This window comes from Homo sapiens, chromosome 2 (assembly GCF_000001405.40).
Source record: "Homo sapiens chromosome 2, GRCh38.p14 Primary Assembly".
Lineage (NCBI taxonomy): Eukaryota > Metazoa > Chordata > Mammalia > Primates > Hominidae > Homo > Homo sapiens.
The window spans coordinates 89,035,391-89,053,211 of NC_000002.12; the positions used below are offsets into that span (position 1 = coordinate 89,035,391).

Here is a 17,821-nt window from a genome sequence, read left to right on the forward strand (position 1 = left end):
GGTTTTGTATCCTGGGGTAAAAAGACACACAGGGCTGAAGTGCTAATGGACATTCTATTCTATGGGAAACTGGTATAGAGGACAGGTAGGTTGTTCTGCTCAGTTCCTGTCTATCTCAGGATGTTACAATTCCAGCACGTTCTGCAATTGTACTTGAGAACTCTTAAAATAAGCAAGAAAGTGGAGAGAACTAAGTCAGTCCAGGGTCATTGCAGAACGGTCTTGCAGTTATCTCATCCCCCTTAGCAAAGCTAGCATACTTCATATGCCCACCAACTTCCCCTGAACTGGAGGCAGAGGTTTATCTTTTCAGATTGATGAAGCACCTTGACTTACACAATCTCAATGCAGATTATGAAGCCATAGTGAGAGTACATTTCACTGGGCCATGAAAAGCTAGTACCACTGGTAGGAGGATAAAACTCCCCAAGCAGTGACTAAGATGTTAAGAGGTGAAAGGGGGATCTTTTGATGTCCTATTGTCTGCAGCCAGTGAGCCTGCTTTATGATCACCCCTACTTGTATTTCTAGGATATCTGAGGTGTTTATCCAGGTACAGCAGCCAGTGTTGGGTGTTGGTAATTGCATGGAAAGTCCATTTGTTTCCATGAGAGTGTGCCCATTGTTATGTTGATTGGGCAGTGAGGCTGTTTCTTGGTCAGAGTGAAGTCTCATGGAATATCCAAAAACATGACATAAATTCCTCTCAAGGGTGGCCATGGTAGCCCCAGCATCTAATAGAGTGACATATATTTAGCTGTCCAGGAAGCAAGCTATTGCCATAGTCCTTTTCTCCACTCATGAGATCCTTTAATAGTTCAGTCACTCAGTTGCTATTTTCCTGACCAGACAGCTGGGCTGTTGGCAATGGCCCATGATTTAGTGGAAATGGAGCAAAATATAGTGTTGGGGGCAGCCTGCATGGCTACTATCATTTCATGTAGTTTGTCCCATTGGGCAGAATGACCATGTTCAGTGTCAGTCAAAAGATGCCATCCCCTGGCTGGATGGTGGCTGCACCCAGTGGATCCACTGGCATGTGTTTTGTACAATCATCAGGGCCCCATGCCATACTGACACAGGCATGTCTCTGAATCTTTGGCTCTATGTGGCCAAAGGAGAAGCTAAATTGTCCCCTATGGGCCATTTGTTCCCTTCTAGCAAGCTTGCCATTTATTCATGGGGCACATGGGTCCTGTGGGATCCTGGTTAGGGCTGATTCTGACTGTATCATTTCCACTTAATGATTTGGATCTGTTGGGCCTGTCCAGTTTTATTGATTGTGTTTGTAGGTACCAAAGTGAGAATGGTTAGTTAAGGTCGCAGCATCCTGCCTGGTGCTCTAGCTCTGAGATACTCAGCCCCTATCAGTTTCCTACAGCAAGCAAGGAGCTGCCATTCAAAAGAGGCACAACTGTTGGCTGCTTCAGGAAATTTTGTGTCCAAAATCTGAGTCTGGTGCACCCAGTGACAGTAGAATCACCTGACATCAGATGTTAGTCTGAGCCCTGATGTGTGATACAATGTGAAGGGTTCAGGAGGGGTCATTCTTCTTGGCAAATTAGGTGTTCAGAAGAGCCAGTAGCACTCTAAATCTCGGTTGGGGGAAACTCAAATTATTGAGTCCCCACAGAGACCTCCATAACATTGGTTCATGAGACTCCCAGGGAAAGCTGGGAAAGATGACTGACTGAAGTCCATGTGTTGAATCATTCTCATTATTAAAAGCCCCTGCTCATTAATGGCATTTCGATTAGCATCCACTTGGAAAGCATTTTTTTTTTTGGATTATGGCTCATTTTAAAAACATCTAGTCATAGCTCTTCCACAATGACTTTGTCTGTAATCATCCTGTTGCATTTCTTTTAAGGCCTGATGATCTGTCAAAACCAACAGCCAATATTATTAAAATGTTATTCTCTTTGCAATGTGATCATCAGACATAGGCCTTGCAGTTTACCCACTGTTTTGATTTTTACATTTCCAGGGCTTCCTTGACAATGGCACTGATGTGACTCCATCCAGCATCCATTGTTGTGAGAACTCTATTTGGCATATCATCATTGTGGGCATGAACATAATGGAGACTTTCATAGGATGCAATGATTAATATTCAACATTAGTCAAAATTTCTTCTAGTCCTACCCTTGGAGCTCTACTGGGTTGGAAAATATTTTCGGACAAGGACAATCATTTGGTAGAGTTTTAAAAATAAAGGCTACAAATAAATTTTCCATAGCAAGAGTATGAACTATGTGTGGTCCAGAATACAATTTTTTATGGAATGTAACAAAAATTATTTAAATGTATTCAATTTAGATAATAATTTTACAAATAGGCATATATTGCATATATAATAGAATTAACACACTTAAGTATGAGTACTATATATATAGCCAACATTTTATCAAATAATATATTGACTTGTATGTATCTTACATACATGTATGCACATTTTCCCATAAATATGGTAAATTTTAATTTTTTATTGAAATATTAGTTTTAATTTTGTCATTAATTTTCTAAGTTTATAATTTGATTACTAAATATTTACATTTATGCCACTAATTTAAGAAAAAATACATGTGTGTATATATAGGTAGAGGTGTAAATACTGTATCAGGAAGCTTTTATGCATTAATGATTGGTAACTGGCTAAATACACAACTCAGTGACAGAAAATAGTAAACATTTGTTTTCATGTTCATAGATGCTCACGTTCACAGTAATCTGGCTGATCAAGGAAGGGTTCAGGTGAGTGGTTTCTCTGCATGGCACTGAGCTTGTCTTCAGCCTACACATATCAACTGTCTGAGGACAAGGCTGAACAGCAGTGACTACCCATGACTCAAGATTCTTCTGGCAGGTCACAAGAGTGAACAGCATCCCAAACCAAACTGCACAGTTGAGTTTAAGTCCAATAATTTCTAACATAGCTTCACACATTTCAAATATATTGCTTTATTTCAGTGAGTACAAATTTTTAAGAAAATGTTTACTCCATTTAATTATAGAGGTGTTTGATCATTCCATGGACAAATAATTATGTTTTCAACCTTTACAATATTGAAAATATTTGCAAATGTAAATTTGCATTAATAAGAAAATAAAGCTGGATGCGTTTTCAACATGTGGCTTTAAATATAATTTATTTAAATGGCCTCATGGGGGAAAATCATTTTAACTTACATAAATTCTCATTTTGTCTCTCTTGTTTCTTATAGAGTTGCCCAATAAGAAGTCCTCCCATGAGATTTGGAAGTCCGAAAAGGATGACTCAATATTCTCCATTGGTACCTAAGACAGACACAGGGACAGACATGAGGACTAGAGAAACACCTGAAAAGATGCTGTAGGAAGCTGAGAGCATCAGCACCCCCACCCCTAAGCTTCCAGACAGGACTGAGGACCATATGGTTAGAAAGCCCATACTTCAGAGGAAGATGCATTCTGTTGCCTGAGGGAGGATCAGAGATTCCTGCTTCTAATATCAGCTTTCATGACTACTATATCCTTGGCTTTGAAAGGTTGTAGTGGGAAACTTAATCTTAGGAATTTGGTCATTCTTGTCATACCCAACAGAGCAAAGAAACCAGTGGGGAAAGGCACTCAGGGTGCAAAATATTGTTTCTAGAATGCAATTGAAATAGGCCCTATTATCCCATGGAACTAATGTTTATGTTTTTTTGTATAAACATAGAAATTGACTCCCCCAGTCTTAAAACTCAAGATAGTTACATCTGTCTTATCTGAGTTTTTTTTTGTTTGTTTGTTTTTTCAGTAAACCAATGAACAGGCCTCCCAGATACTATCAAGGAGCTGAAACTTACATATCACTGAATCGGGACAGTGAGACATCAGAACCTTCACCCATTATGATTGCCTCACTGACCTCCTGCTTCCTGTTGACCAAATTATCTTCCTTACCCCTCCCTAATTCCTGTTTTCCCACATTTCTTCCCTGCTATATAAACTCCTAATTTCAGTTGGTCAGGGAGATACATTTGAGAATGGTATCACATCTCCTAGGCTGCAGCACCTGATTAAAGCCTGTTCCTTGGCAATGCTTGTTGTCTTAGTGATTGGCTTTCTGTGGGGTAAGCTGCAGAGTCTTCACTGAATCCCTGGCATTTCAGTAACAAAATTCTCTGCAACCTTCACTGCTTTGGCTTATTGTAACCTGAAATCAAATTTGTCCACAACTTCTGAGATAACTTGATATAATTCTAGGATTCATTTTGTCCACCACTGCTTACCAGTCTGAGCTTGCCAGCTCCCAACCCTTCCTAGTGCCAATGAACTTTCTCAAAGAGCCACAGGTAACATTTTCCCTTTTTCATAAAATGCTAATTTTCTCTTCGTTCTTCCAATATCTTGAAGACCACTGAGTTTTCCTGTATGCCCCACCTGGCAAATATTTCTTTGCAAATAAAACTTAAATTTAGAGATTCATCTCTACATTTTATTTTGACTTTAGTAGTTTACTTTAATTCTCTGTATTAAGACAATTCCTGCTTAGAATATCTATAGTGGCTTCTTCTGTGTTATATGAATTCAAGCTGAAGCCATAAACTAGACTCCTCAAGTGTCATGATCTCTGTATTTATCAAATCAGGAGATGCATTGCTATGTCTGTGCAGTTGGGGCTGAGAAAGAGAAAAGAATTAGGGTGCAGAGGCGATTTCACGTACCCCTCTACCAACACCATCAGAGTGTGGCTGCATCTGAGCAACACTCTCAGCCAATGGAGGCATCAGGAGGAGCAGCTGGGGCAGCCCAGCTTCACACATCTGCTTCCCTGGGGGTTTATGTTCGGGTTGGTAACACTGTGGGAGGGAAACTGTTAGCCTGTTGACAATAGTAAGTTGCAAAATCTTCAGGCTGCAGGCTGCTGATGGTGAGAGTGAAATCTGTCCCAGATCCACTGCCGCTGAACCTTGATGGGACCCCACTTTGCAAACTGGATGCAGCATAGATCAGGAGCTTAGGGGCTTTCCCTGGTTTCTGCTGATACCAGGCTAACCAGCTGCTAATACCCTGACTCGCCCGACAAGTGATGGTGACTCTGTCTCCTACAGATGCAGACACGGAAGATGGAGACTGGGTCATCTGGATGTCGCATCTGGAACCTGAGATTGGAAACATAAAAACAAATGTCCACACAATTAATCATGCTGTAAGAGAAGTTCCCTGAATAGTAAAGCAGTACTCAGCACACTGACCGAGTATAATCCTAGTGTTCTCCTTTCTTACCTGGGAACCAGAGCAGCAGGAGCCCCAGGAGCTGAGCGGGGACCCTCATGTCCATGCTGTGTCCTGACTGGGTCTGACTCCTGCACAGGGTGTGATCAGCCTGTTAATAAGTCTTCAGGTCAGGAGACTGTGCTCTGGGAACATGCAAATGAGCAGGGGATGGGGCAGGCTGGGCGCAGCTGCAGGGCTGGCTCATCTCAGTAACTCAGCACCAGCTCAGTGTCCCCAGGTGTCCCAGGTAAGACCAGGGTAGCACAAATTTGTCTGCAGAGAATGTGTTTCTACTGGGAACTATTTTGTTGTGAGTAACATTTTTTGGTTTCTTTTTGACGATTTGAAATATTCCTCAGGAGTTGATGGACTAATGTATTTCATTGGTGTATGGGGATTATTTAGGAGAATATTGTTGTTTGTAGGAAACACATAGTAAAATGTTAGACGGTACAATTCTCAAGTCTTCAAAAGACTCTTATATGATTCCGGCTAGGGAAGGGGGTATTTGTCGTATACATGCAACATTTCTGTGAGTTTAACATTGTTCCTATGTAAAAAAATTAAAAATAAAATTTATTGACATGATGGTACATACATTTGTAAGTATCAGGTAATGGTGTTATGCCATTGTTCTTACCAGTATGAGATCAAACTATGTACTATAGATACACAAAGATGATACCGTGTTTTCTCGATGCATGCAGCAGTCACAGATCCACAATTATCAAGAGCGACAGGTCTCTATAGTACTCAGACACTAAATGGGTTGCACCTTATTCTTGTTTTGGGCACCTTCATAGTCTACCTTCTTTTCTGCCATTCAGTATTATTTCCCAAAGTTCATCTCTCTTACTGAGGGTGACCACTGCATGGAGCATGTCCCTGCCATGCACCATCAATGACACTTTCCTCTTTTACTTTTTATCAGTGATTGGGGAAATCATCCTGACCCAGGCAACAGCCTCCCTGTTAACTGCTTTAGGAAAGAGACACTGAATCTCTTATCAAGCAGTTGCCTATGTACATGGAGAAATCACTTGGATCCAGATGAAACTGGACAGGGATTTGCACTCGTTATATCTCATATCTCTAATGTGCCCAAAAATGTCCCAGCCTGACTCAGTAGCAGGGAAAGTGGATCCAACTACATCAGCATCAGTGGGCTGCCACCTAGGACTCCACAAAATTTTACTGATGCCTGACTAGGGGAGCCAAATCACAGTGCTGCAGGCTGTGCACAAACCTTCCTGCTGTTTTTTAAGCTGCCTGAATTTTAAGGGAACTTGCTTATATTGGGAGAAAGGAAGAAAGCTCCATTTGTCCTCTAAATATTTGCTGAAAATGAATGGACAAAAGAAAGATTAATAAGAGAAAAGACAAACAAAATTCATTTGAAGTGCAGCAGAATATCATAGCAGGGTGATTACCCAGATAACTCAATGGGATACAGTTGTTTATATTTCTTTTCTAAGGAAGAGGGAATTGAGAAGTGTAGGCAACCTGGAAAGAATAGATGAGAACAGAAGTGCATCCTCAAAAGAACAGGTCATAGCCTGTCTGGATAAAGCATCAACTTCAGTCTCTTGTATTTTAGATTCCTCTTTTGTGTTAATATTCCCTGATGTAAAAATTCTCAGGAAGAATTTTTTTGACAATTGGTTTCCTTCTGGAGAATCTGCTATTATGCAGATAAGGGACATTTAGGAAAAGTCTTTTTGTGCATTTGGTGCTTTCTAAATGTCTTTGGTTTTACATAATCATCATACCAGTGCAGCGTAGTTTGAGATGTTATTTTCTGGATTCCTTTACTTGCAACCCACCTGCCAAGATCCTGTTCCAGAGAGATGCAGCTACAGATTGAATGAGCAGTTGACCCTTGAACAACATGGAGGTTTGGGCACTGACCATGGGTGCAGATGAAAACCTGTGTAGAACTTTTGCATTTCTAACTCCAGGCATCATCTTGAAAGTGGAGAAAGCAGACCTTAACCTGCCCATGTCTTGATCTTTAATTTCCCATTCTCCAGAACTGTAAGAAAATAAATTTCTGTTCCTTATGAATTACATAGTGACAATGAATCTGTTATAGCAGCTTGAAATAGAACAAGAGAGACAGCGCACAATCAGTGAGGACACGATGAGGTGTATACATACCCCAGCTTCCTCATCTCTCAGGTGGAATAGCCCAGAGGAACTTAGTCCATGTTTCCACATGTGGTTGATCTTTGGTTATCCTGAGTCAGGTAGGTTGTTGATGTGTCTTTTTCCATTCATCTTCTGTTCTCTTCCTCACTTTCCTCCTTTCCTCCCAGTGTAAATTTGCTGCCTAAACAGGGATCCTCATTGAGGGTGGACCCAAACTAAGATAGTTAAAAAAAAAAATTGTTAATCTTTTGTAAGAGGGGTATTTCTCATCTGAATTCTGATAATTTCTTTTTCTTTGACATGTAGGAATATTCAGGAGGCACTTAATTTTTTTTTTTTTTTTTACCAATCTGTTTTACATTCAATTTGTGAACTGATTTTGTTTTTCTGTGTGTTAAAACCAAAAATTAAGTTGTAAGCCACCAACCTGCTGAATGGACTCCTCTTTTGTAAAGAGCACTTCAAAGAAATTTGAAAAACTAGGTTAGGCCATGACTGGCAGGTGGGTTTAGATGTGCCTCATTATACTTTGGAGTTCAGACACAACTGACCAACATTGTCATTACAACAGAGATCTTTGGGCTGACAAAACAGACGCTTTGTAGCATTAAGATACCATATTCCAACATGACAGATAATAGGCCCTGAAGAAAATCTAAATATTTTACCTTAAAAATATTTCTTCATCATATTCTGAAGTGGTTCTGCAAAGCTGCCAGTTGTGGGGGAAATTTGCATTCTATAGAGAATCTCCTCCCCTTACTAAGTCTTTTTTAAAGTCTGACATTTTTTAAAGCTCTGATAAGCAACATTCACCTTGTACTTTATCTGCTACTGATAGGATTCATCTACATGACAAGAACCTTGGCTTCCACATCCCCTTTTCTACACTCAAGCATTTCTTTATGATGAATTCAACTCTTTAGACAGACCTTAACTCTTTCAACCAGTAGCCAGTAAGGAAAGCTTTGAATTCACCTATGACCTGGAAGCCCCTGCTTCAAGCTATCCCACCTTTCCAGGACAAACTAATGTATATCTTATATGTATTGATTTATGTCTTTCCCTGTATTTCTGTGTTTCCCTAAAGTGCTTAAAACCAATGTGTAATCCAACCGCCTTGGGCACATGTTTACAGGACCTTCTAAGGCTGTGTCACAGGCCATAAGCCTTATCTTTGGCAGAATAACCCTGTAAATTGATTGAGACCTGTCTCAGATACTGTTTTGTTTATACTGGGTCACAAAATTTAAAAATCCTCTAAAACTATCTACACATCAATAAATCTACATTAGAGACAGTGGAGTGAGCATACCCCAACAGATAAAACTCACAAGTTAGAGGAACCTGAGTCTAAGATTTTGTCCACCTCCCTTGATTCATAAAAATACTTCGTGATTTTTTAAATTTTACTTTAGAGAAGGACAATTTTGGGGAATATGTTTATGGTCGGTGGAATGAATAATGTCCCACCCCAAAGGATGTCCATGTCCTCATCTCTGGAACCCAAGTGTTATAGGAGTTTTTAAGAAATTATTTTAGGCAGATAGGAAAAGGGGTCCTTGGGAAGGTTTTGTTTCCTTTAAAGCAGCTCTAGAAACACTTCTTGTCTAGCCAGAAAGCCCTGGCTCTTAGAGCCAGGCTGGGAAGCTTTCCTATGCAAATCATAGCCATTAGAAACTGGATTCACCCAAACATGGTGATTCCCACCGTTTTCTTCCTTGTCAACACATGTGCCTGGGAAAAACCTGAAAGATGCTATAGGAAGCTGAGAGCAGCTGCAACCCCACCCTTAAGCTTTCAGACAGGACTGAGGACCACATGGTTAGATAGCCCATACTTCAGTGGCAGATGCATTCTATTTTCTGAGGGAGTACCAGAGAATCCTGCTTCTACTGTCAACCTGCCTGACTACTATATCCTTGGCTTTGAAAGGTTGTAGTGTAAAAGTTAATCATAGGAATTCGGTCATTCTTGACATACCCAACAGAGCCAAGAAACCAGGAGGGAAAACCACTCAGGGTGCAAAATATTGTCTGAAGAATGCAATTGAAATAGACCCTATTATCCCATGGAACTAATGTTTATGATTTTTTGAATAAACATAGAAACTGACTCCCCCAGTCTTAAAACTCAAGGTAGTTACATTTGTTAATCTGAGTTCTTTTTTCAGGAAACCAACCATCAGGCCTCTAGATACTATCAAGGAGCTGAAAGTTATATATCACTGAATGGGGACAGTGAGACATCAGACCCTTCACCCATTATGATTGCCTAACTGACCTCCAGCTTCCTGTTGACTAAATTATCTTCCTTACCCCTCTCTAATTCCTGTTTTCCACATTTCTTCCCTGCTATATAAACGCCTAATTTATTTTGTCAGGGAGATACATTTGAGAATGGTGTCCCGTCTCCTCGGCTGCAGCACCTGATTAAAGCCTGTTCTTTGACAACACTTGTTGTCTTAGTGATTGGCTTTCTGTGTGGTGAGCCGCAGGATCTATACTGAATCCCTGGCATTTCAGTAACAAAATTCTCTGCAAGCTTCACTGCTTTGGCTTATTGTAACCTGAAAGCAAATTTACCCACAACTTCTGAGATAACTTAATATAATTCTAGGATTCAGTTTGACCACCACTGCTTACCAGTCTGAGCTTGCCAGCTCCCAACCCTTACTACAGCCAACAAAATTTCTCAAAGAACAATAGGTAATAATTTCCCTTTTAATAAAACTCTTTGCTCTTCCAACATATTGAAGACCATTGAGTTTTCCTGTATGCCCCATTTGGCAAAAATTTCTTAGCAAATAAAACATTAAATTTATCTGTACATTTTATTTAGACTTCAATACTTTAGACTCTAATTCTATCTATTAAGACTATTCCTGCTTAGAATATCTATAATGGCTTCTTCTCTGTTATATGAATTCTAACCAAAGCCATAAACTAGACTCTTCAGGTGTCATGATCTCTATCTTTATTAAATCAGCAGAGGCATTGTAATGTCTGTGCAGCTGGGGCTGAGAAAAGAAAAAGAAATTGGGATGCAGAGGTGATCTCATATCCTCCTCTACCAACACCATCAGAGTGTGGCTGCATCTGAGGAACACTCTCAGCCAATGGAGGCATCAGGAGAAGCAGCTGGGGCGGCCCAGTCTCACACATCTGCTTCCCTGGGGGTTTATGTTCGGGTTTGTAACACTATGTGAGGGTAATTATTAAACTGTTGACAGTAATAAGTTGCAAAATCTTCAGGCTGCAGGCTGCTGATGGTGAGAGTGAAATCTGTCCCAGATCCACTGCCGCTGAACCTTGATGGGACCCCACTTTCCAAACTGGAGGCATCATAGATCAGGAGCTTAGGAGCTTTCCCTGGTTTCTGCTGATATCAGGCTAAAGCACTGCTAATGCCCTGACTTGCCCGGCAAGTGATGGTGACTCTGTCTCCTACAGATGCAGACAGGGAGGATGGAGACTGGGTCAACTGGATGGCACATCTGGCACCTGAGATTGGAAGCATAAACACAAATGGTCCACACAATTAATCATGTAGTAAGAGAATTTCCCTGAATAGCCAGGCTGTACTGAGCCCCCTGGGCTGAGTAAACTGCTAGTGTTCTCCTTCCTTACCTGGGAGCCAGAGCAGCAGAAGCCCCAGGAGCTGAGCGGGGACCCTCATGTCCATGCTGTGTCCTGAGTGGGTCTGACTCCTGCAAGAAGTGTGACCAGCCTATTAAGAAGTCTTCAGGGCAGGAGGTTGTGTTCTGGGAATATGCAAATGAGCAGAGGATGGGCAGGCTGGGCACAGCTGCAGGGCTGGCTCATCTCAGTAACTCAGCACCAGTTCAGTGTCCCCAGGTGTCCCAGGTAAGACCAGGGTAGCACAAATTTGTCTCCAGAGAATGTGTTTCTACTGGGAACTATTTTATTATGAGAGACATTTTTTAGGTTTTTTTTGACAATTTGAAATATTCCTCAGGAGTTGATGGAGTAATGTATTTCATTGGTGTATGGGGATTATTTAGGAGAATATTCTTGTTTGTAGGAAATATATAATAAAATGTTAGACGGTATGATTATCAGGTCTCCAAAAGACTCTCATATGATCCCGGTTAGGGAAGGGGTTACTTTGCCCTATACTTGGAACATTTCTGTGATTTTAACATTGTTCCTTTCTAAAAAAAATCAAAAATAAAATTTATTGACATGATGCTATATATACATGTCAGTATTCGGTAATGGTGTTATGCCATTGTTCTTACCACTATAAGATCAAGCAATTTACTACAGATCCACAGAGATGATGCCTATGTACATGGAGAAAGCAGTTTGATCCAGACAAAACTGGAAATGATTTGCAATCATTATATCGCACATATCTAATGTGCCCAAAACTGTCCCAGCCTAGCTCAGTAGCAGGGGAAGTGGATCCAACTATATTAGCATCAGTGGGCTGCAGCCTAGGGCTCCACAAAATTTTACTGATGCCTGAGTAGGGGAGCCAAATCACAGTGCCATAGCCCGTGCACAAACCTTCTTGCTGCTTTGTAAGCCGCCTGAATTTTAAGGGAACTTGCTTATATTGGGAGAAAGGAAGAAAACTCCATTTGTCCTCTAAATGTTTGCTGAAAATAAACTGACAAAAGGAAGATTAATAAGAGAAAAGGCAAACAAAATTCATTTAAAGTGCAGCAGGATATCATAGCAGGGTGATTACCCAAATAACTCAATAAGATCCAGTAGTTCATATTTCCTTTCCAGCGAAGACGGAATTCGGAAGTGTAGGCAATCTGGAGAGAATAGATGAGAACAGAAGTGCATCTTCAAAAGAACAGGTAATAGCCTGTCTGGATAAAGCATCAGTTCCCAGTCTCTTCTATTTTTGATTCCTGTTTTGTGTTAATCTTCCCTGATATAAAAATTCTCAGGAAGAAGTTTTTTGACAATTGGTTTCCTTCTGGAGAATCTGCTTTTTGGCAGATAAGCGATGTTTAGGAGAAGGCTTTTTGTGCATTTGCTGCTTTCTAAATGCCTTTGGTTTTATGTAATCCTCATACGAATGCAGCATAGTTTGAGATGTTATTTTCTGGATTCCTTTACTTACAACTCACCTACCAAGATCCTGTTCCAGAGAGATGCAGCTACAGACTGAAAGAGCAGTTGACCCCTGAACAATGTGGAGGTTGGGGCACTGACCACAGGTGCAGATGAAAACCTGTGTAGAACTTTTGCATTTCTAACTTAAGTACTAATAGCTTACTTTTGACTGCTAGCCTTAATGATAAAATAAATAGTTGATTAACACTTTTTTAAGTTATTTATATCATATACTCTATTATTCCAATAAACTATGCTAAAGAAAAAAATGTAATTAAGTAAATTATAAAAATGAGAAAATATATTTACTACTTATTAAGTACTTGCTTACAGGTGACACACACAGAAGAAAATACAAGTGGATCTGCAAATTTCAAACCCAATTTATTCAAGGGTTAACTGTACCAGGATGAATATAGGAGTCTCTATCTGTATTCTAGGGCTTTCTCTTTGCTGTACCTCTGCTCACTTCCAATGGCAATATACATGTCTTATGTTCTTTACAGTCTTGGGCAGAGAACTCTGCCTGCATGCATTGCTGACCAAATGACCTGGAATGTGTATCTCTTAGGAAAGTGCTATGGTTTCACTGTGTCCTCCAGAATCCATCTGTTGTAAAGTTAATTCTCAGTGTAATGGTATTGCCAATTGGGGCCTATTGGGATGTGTTTAGATCATGAGTGTGGTGCCCTCTAGTGGAATACATTAATGCCAGTATAAACAGCAATTGTGGGGCTGGGATCTCTCTCTCTTCTGCTTGTCTGTCATGTTAAGACATGGCCTTCCTTCCTTTGAAGGACCCCAAACTCCAGGCATCATCTTGAAAGCAAAGAAAGCAGACCTTAACCTGCCCATGCCTTGAACTTAAATTTCCCATTCTCCAGAAGTGTAAGAAAATAAATTTGTGTTCTTTATGAATTACTCAGTGAAAAGGAATCTGTTACAGCAGCTTGAAATAGAACAAGAGAGACAGCTCACAATCAGTGAGGACAGGATGAGGTGTATACATACTTCAGCTTCCTCATCTCTCAGGTGGAACAGCCCGGAGGAATTTAGTCCATGTTTCCACAGGTGGTTGATCTTCAGTTCTCCTGAGTCAGGTGGGTTGTTGATGCGTCTTTTACAATTCATCTTCTGTTCCCTTCCTCACTTTCCTCCTTTTCTCCCAGCGTAAATTTGCTGCCTAAACAGGAATCCTTATTGCAGGTGGACCCAAACTAAGACAGTTAAAAAAAAAAAAAAAAAAAAAATCGTTAATCTTTTGTATGAGGGGTATTTCTCATCTGAATTCTAATAATTTCTTTTTCTTTGACATGTAGGAATATTCAGGAAGCACTTAATTTTTCTTTACCAATCTATTTCAGATTGAATTTGTGCAGTGATTTTGTTTTTCTGTGTGTTAAAACCAAAAATTAAGTTGTAGGTCACCAACCTGCTGAATGGACTCCTCTTTTGACAGAAAGCACTTCAAAGAAATTTGGAAAACTAGATTAGGCCATGACTGGCAGGTTTAGATGTGCCTCATTATACTCTCCTCCCTTTGGAGTTCAGACACAACTGACCAGCATTATCATTACAACAGAGATCTCTGGACTGATGAAACAGATACTTTTTAGCAATAAGATACCATACTCCAATGTGACAGATAATAGGCCCTGGAGAAAATAAAAATATTTTATCCTAAAAATATTTCTTTGACATATTCTGAAGTGGCCCTGCAAAGCTACCTGTTGTGGGGGAAAATTGCATTCTATAGAGAATCTCCTCCCCTTACTAAGTCTTTTCCAAAGAGTCTGACATTTTTTTCTAAGGTCTGATAATCAACATTCACCATCTACTTTATTTACTACCCATAGGATTCATCTACATGACAAGAACCCCCCATTTTCTAGACTCAAGCATTTCTTTATGATGAATTCAACTCTTTAGGCAGAGCTTAACTCTTTCAACCAGTTGCCAATCAGGAAAGCTTTGAATCCACCTATGACCTGGAAACCCCTGCTTCAAGCTATCCCACCTTTCCAGGACAAACTTATGTGTATCTTATATGTACTGATTTATGTCTTTGCCTGTAATTTCTGTGTCTCCTAAAGTGTATAAAACCAACGTAAAATCCAACCACCTTAGGCATATGTTTGCAGGACCTCCTAAGGCTGTGTCACAGGCCATAAGCCATATATTTGGCAAAATAACCTGTAAATTGATTGAGACCTGCCTCAGATAGTGTTTTGCTTACACTAGGTCACAAAATTTTAAAATGCCTAAACCGCAGCAGCCCGGCATTCCTCCAGGACCTCCTCCCCCGGGATCTTGCTTCAAGTGCTGGAAATCTGGCCACTGGACCGAGGAATGCCCACAGCCTGGGATTCCTCCTAAGCCGTGTCCCATCTGTGCAGGACCCCACTGGAAATTGGACTGTCCAACTCTCCTGGCAGCCACTCCCAGAGCCACTGGAACTCTGGCCCAAGGCTCTCTGACTGACTCCTTCCCAGATCTTCTCAGCTTAGCTGCTGAAGACTGATGCTGCCCAATCGCCTTGGAAGCCTCCTGGACCATCACAGACACTTTGGGTAACTCTTACAGTGGAGAGTAAGTCCATCCCCTTCTTAATCAATGTGGAGTCTACCCACTCCACATTACCTTCTTTTCAACGACCTGTTTCCCTTGCCGCCATAACTGTTGTGGGTATTGACGGCCAGGCTTCTAAATCTCTTAAAACTCCCCAACTCTGTTGCGAACTTGGACAACATTCTTTTATGCACTCCTTTTTAGTTATCCTTACCTGCCCAGTTTCCTTATTAGGTCGAGACGTTTTAACAAAACTATCCACTTCCCTGACTATTCCTGGGCTACAGCCACACCTCATTGCCACCCTTTTCCTCACTTCAAAGCCTCCTTTGCATCCTCCCCTGTGTCTCCCTGCCTTAATCCACAAGTATGGGATACCTCTACTCCTTCCTTGGCAACTGATCATGCACCCCTTACCATCCCGTTAAAACCTAATCACTGTTACCACTAGAGCCTGTTATCACCCACCTGTTACAACATGGCCTCTTAAAGCCTACAAATTCTCCTTACTGAGGGAAGAGAGAGACCCTCTCATATTGTTTTATATTGTTTTATACTCAGTACCTGTTTTAAGAGTAAAAATCAAGGAAGTGAAATCAGAGACAGGCAGCCCGGCGCCAGGCCTGGGCCTGCCTGGCCTAAACCTAGTAGTTAAAAATCATCTCATGACTTAGCAACCAATGTTATCCATAGATTCCAAGCATTGTATGAAGAACATTGTGAAACTCCCTGTTCTGTTCTGTTTGACTCTGACTACCAGTGCATGAAGACCCTGTTACATAACCCCTAGATTGCTCAATCAATCACGACCCTTTCATGTAAAATCTTTAGTGTTGTGAGCCCTTAAAATGGACAGAAATTGTGCACTCAAGGAGCTCCGATTTTAAGACAGTAGCTTGCCGATGCTCCCAGCTGAATAAAGCCCTTCCTTCTACAACTCGGTGTCTGAGAGGTTTTGTCCATGGCTCATCCTGCTACATTACAACTCCCCTATCCTACCCATCCAGGAACCAGACAAATCTTACAGGTTGGTTCAGGATCTTTGCCTTATTAATCAAATCGTCTTTCCCATCCACCTTATAGTGCCAAACCTCTACACCCTCCTATCTTCAATACCCCCTTCCACAACTCACTATTTTGTTATTGACCTCAAAGTCACCTTCTTTACTATCCCCTTGTATCCCTCCTCTCAGCCTCTTTTTGCCTTTACTTGGACTGACCGTGACACCCACCAATCCCAACAACTCACCTGGACTGTTCTGCCCCAAGGCTTCAGGAACAGCCCACACTACTTTGGCCAGGCCCTTTCTCATGATCTGCTTTCTTTTCACCTGTCTGCCTCCCACCTTATTCAATATTTTGATGATCTTCTTCTTTGCAGTCCCTCTTACCAATCTTCCCAGCAGGACACTACCCTGCTTCTTCAACATCTCTATTTAAAGGGGTACCGAGTATCCCCCTCCAAGGCACAAATTTCTTCCCCTAGTGTTACCTATCTCGGTATAATCCTCCATCAGCATACACATGCCCTTCCTGCAGACTGTGCTCAGTTAATCTCCCAGACCCGAATCCCCACCACAAAACAACAACTCCTTTCCTTCTTAGGCATTGTTGGATATTTCCGACTCTGGATACCAGGCTTTGCTATCCTAACAAAACCACTTTACAAGCTCACAAAAGGTAACTTAACTGATCCCATAGACCCTAAGTTTTTTGCCCATTGTTCTTTTTGCTCTCTCAAAAAGGCCCTGGAGACAGCTCCCACACTAGCACTCCCCAACTCGTCCCATGCTTTTTCCTTACACACAGCTGAAATACAAGGCTGCGCTGCTGGAGTCCTCACACAGGAGCCAGGCCCATGACCTGTTGCCTTTCTATCAAAACAACTTGACCTCACAATTCTGGTGCAGCCCTCATATTTGCGTGCAGCAGCAGCTGCTGCTGTAATACTTCTGGAAGCCCTCAAAATCACAAGCTATGCTCCACTTACCCTCTACAGTTCTCACAACCTTCAAGCATTAATATCCTCCTCACACCTTTCACACTTACTGTCTGCCCCTCGACTCCTCCAGCTCTATTCATCTTTTATTGAAACCCCAACAGTAACTATTGGCCATGGGCACGATTTCAACCCAGCTTCTCAGTTAGTAACCAACACAAGTCCTGAACCACGTGACTGCATTTCCCTAATACACATAGGATCTTCCTCCTTTCCTCGTATTTCTATTCTTCGAATTCAAAATCCAGACCACCCAATCAATTTTCACCAGGTAAGCTGGATATGCTGTCATGTCCCACATCTCTATTATTGAAACTGCTGCACTTCCTCCCTCCACCACTTCCCAACAAGCCAAACTGATTGCTTTAACTCATGTGCTCTCTCTCGCTAAGGGAATGCACATTAACATTTATACTGACTCCAAATATGCTTTCCACATCTTCCATAACCATGCTGCCATCTGGGCTAAAAGAGGCTTCCTTACCACACAAACCTCTTCCATTATCTATGCCTCCCTAATAAAGGTCCTCCTTAAGGCTGCTCTCCTGCTGGCCAAGCCTGGAGTCATTCATTGTAAAGGACACCAGAAACCTACTCATCTTATTGCAAAAGGAAATGCCTATGCCGACAGGACAGCAAAAGAAATAGCCAATGCCTCCACACCCGCTAATATTCCAGCTCCCACTCCAGAGGACCAGTATTTTTCTTCCTTATCTATCACTACCACCTACTCTTTTGAAAGCCTGCTCTACTAGTCTTTTCCAAC

General features: G+C 41.3%; 2 gene segments (V, D, J or C) and 1 further gene, besides 4 other annotated features; 1 reads left to right on the top strand and 2 right to left on the bottom strand.

Annotated features, from left to right (window-relative positions):
- Positions 1-17,821, top strand: part of IGK (immunoglobulin kappa locus) — a 1,378,008-nt gene that overhangs the window by 178,030 nt on the left and 1,182,157 nt on the right.
- IGKV1-12 (immunoglobulin kappa variable 1-12) lies at positions 4,834-5,308 on the bottom strand. The segment is given in 2 exon segments: positions 4,834-5,129; positions 5,254-5,308. Coding segments are annotated over 2 exon segments (351 nt in total), but the record flags the coding sequence as incomplete, so codon positions are not given.
- Positions 5,119-5,129: a sequence feature (IGKV1-12 leader sequence).
- Positions 5,254-5,308: a sequence feature (IGKV1-12 leader sequence).
- Positions 10,600-11,076, bottom strand: IGKV1-13 (immunoglobulin kappa variable 1-13). The segment is given in 2 exon segments: positions 10,600-10,895; positions 11,022-11,076. Coding segments are annotated over 2 exon segments (351 nt in total).
- Positions 10,885-10,895: a sequence feature (IGKV1-13 leader sequence).
- Positions 11,022-11,076: a sequence feature (IGKV1-13 leader sequence).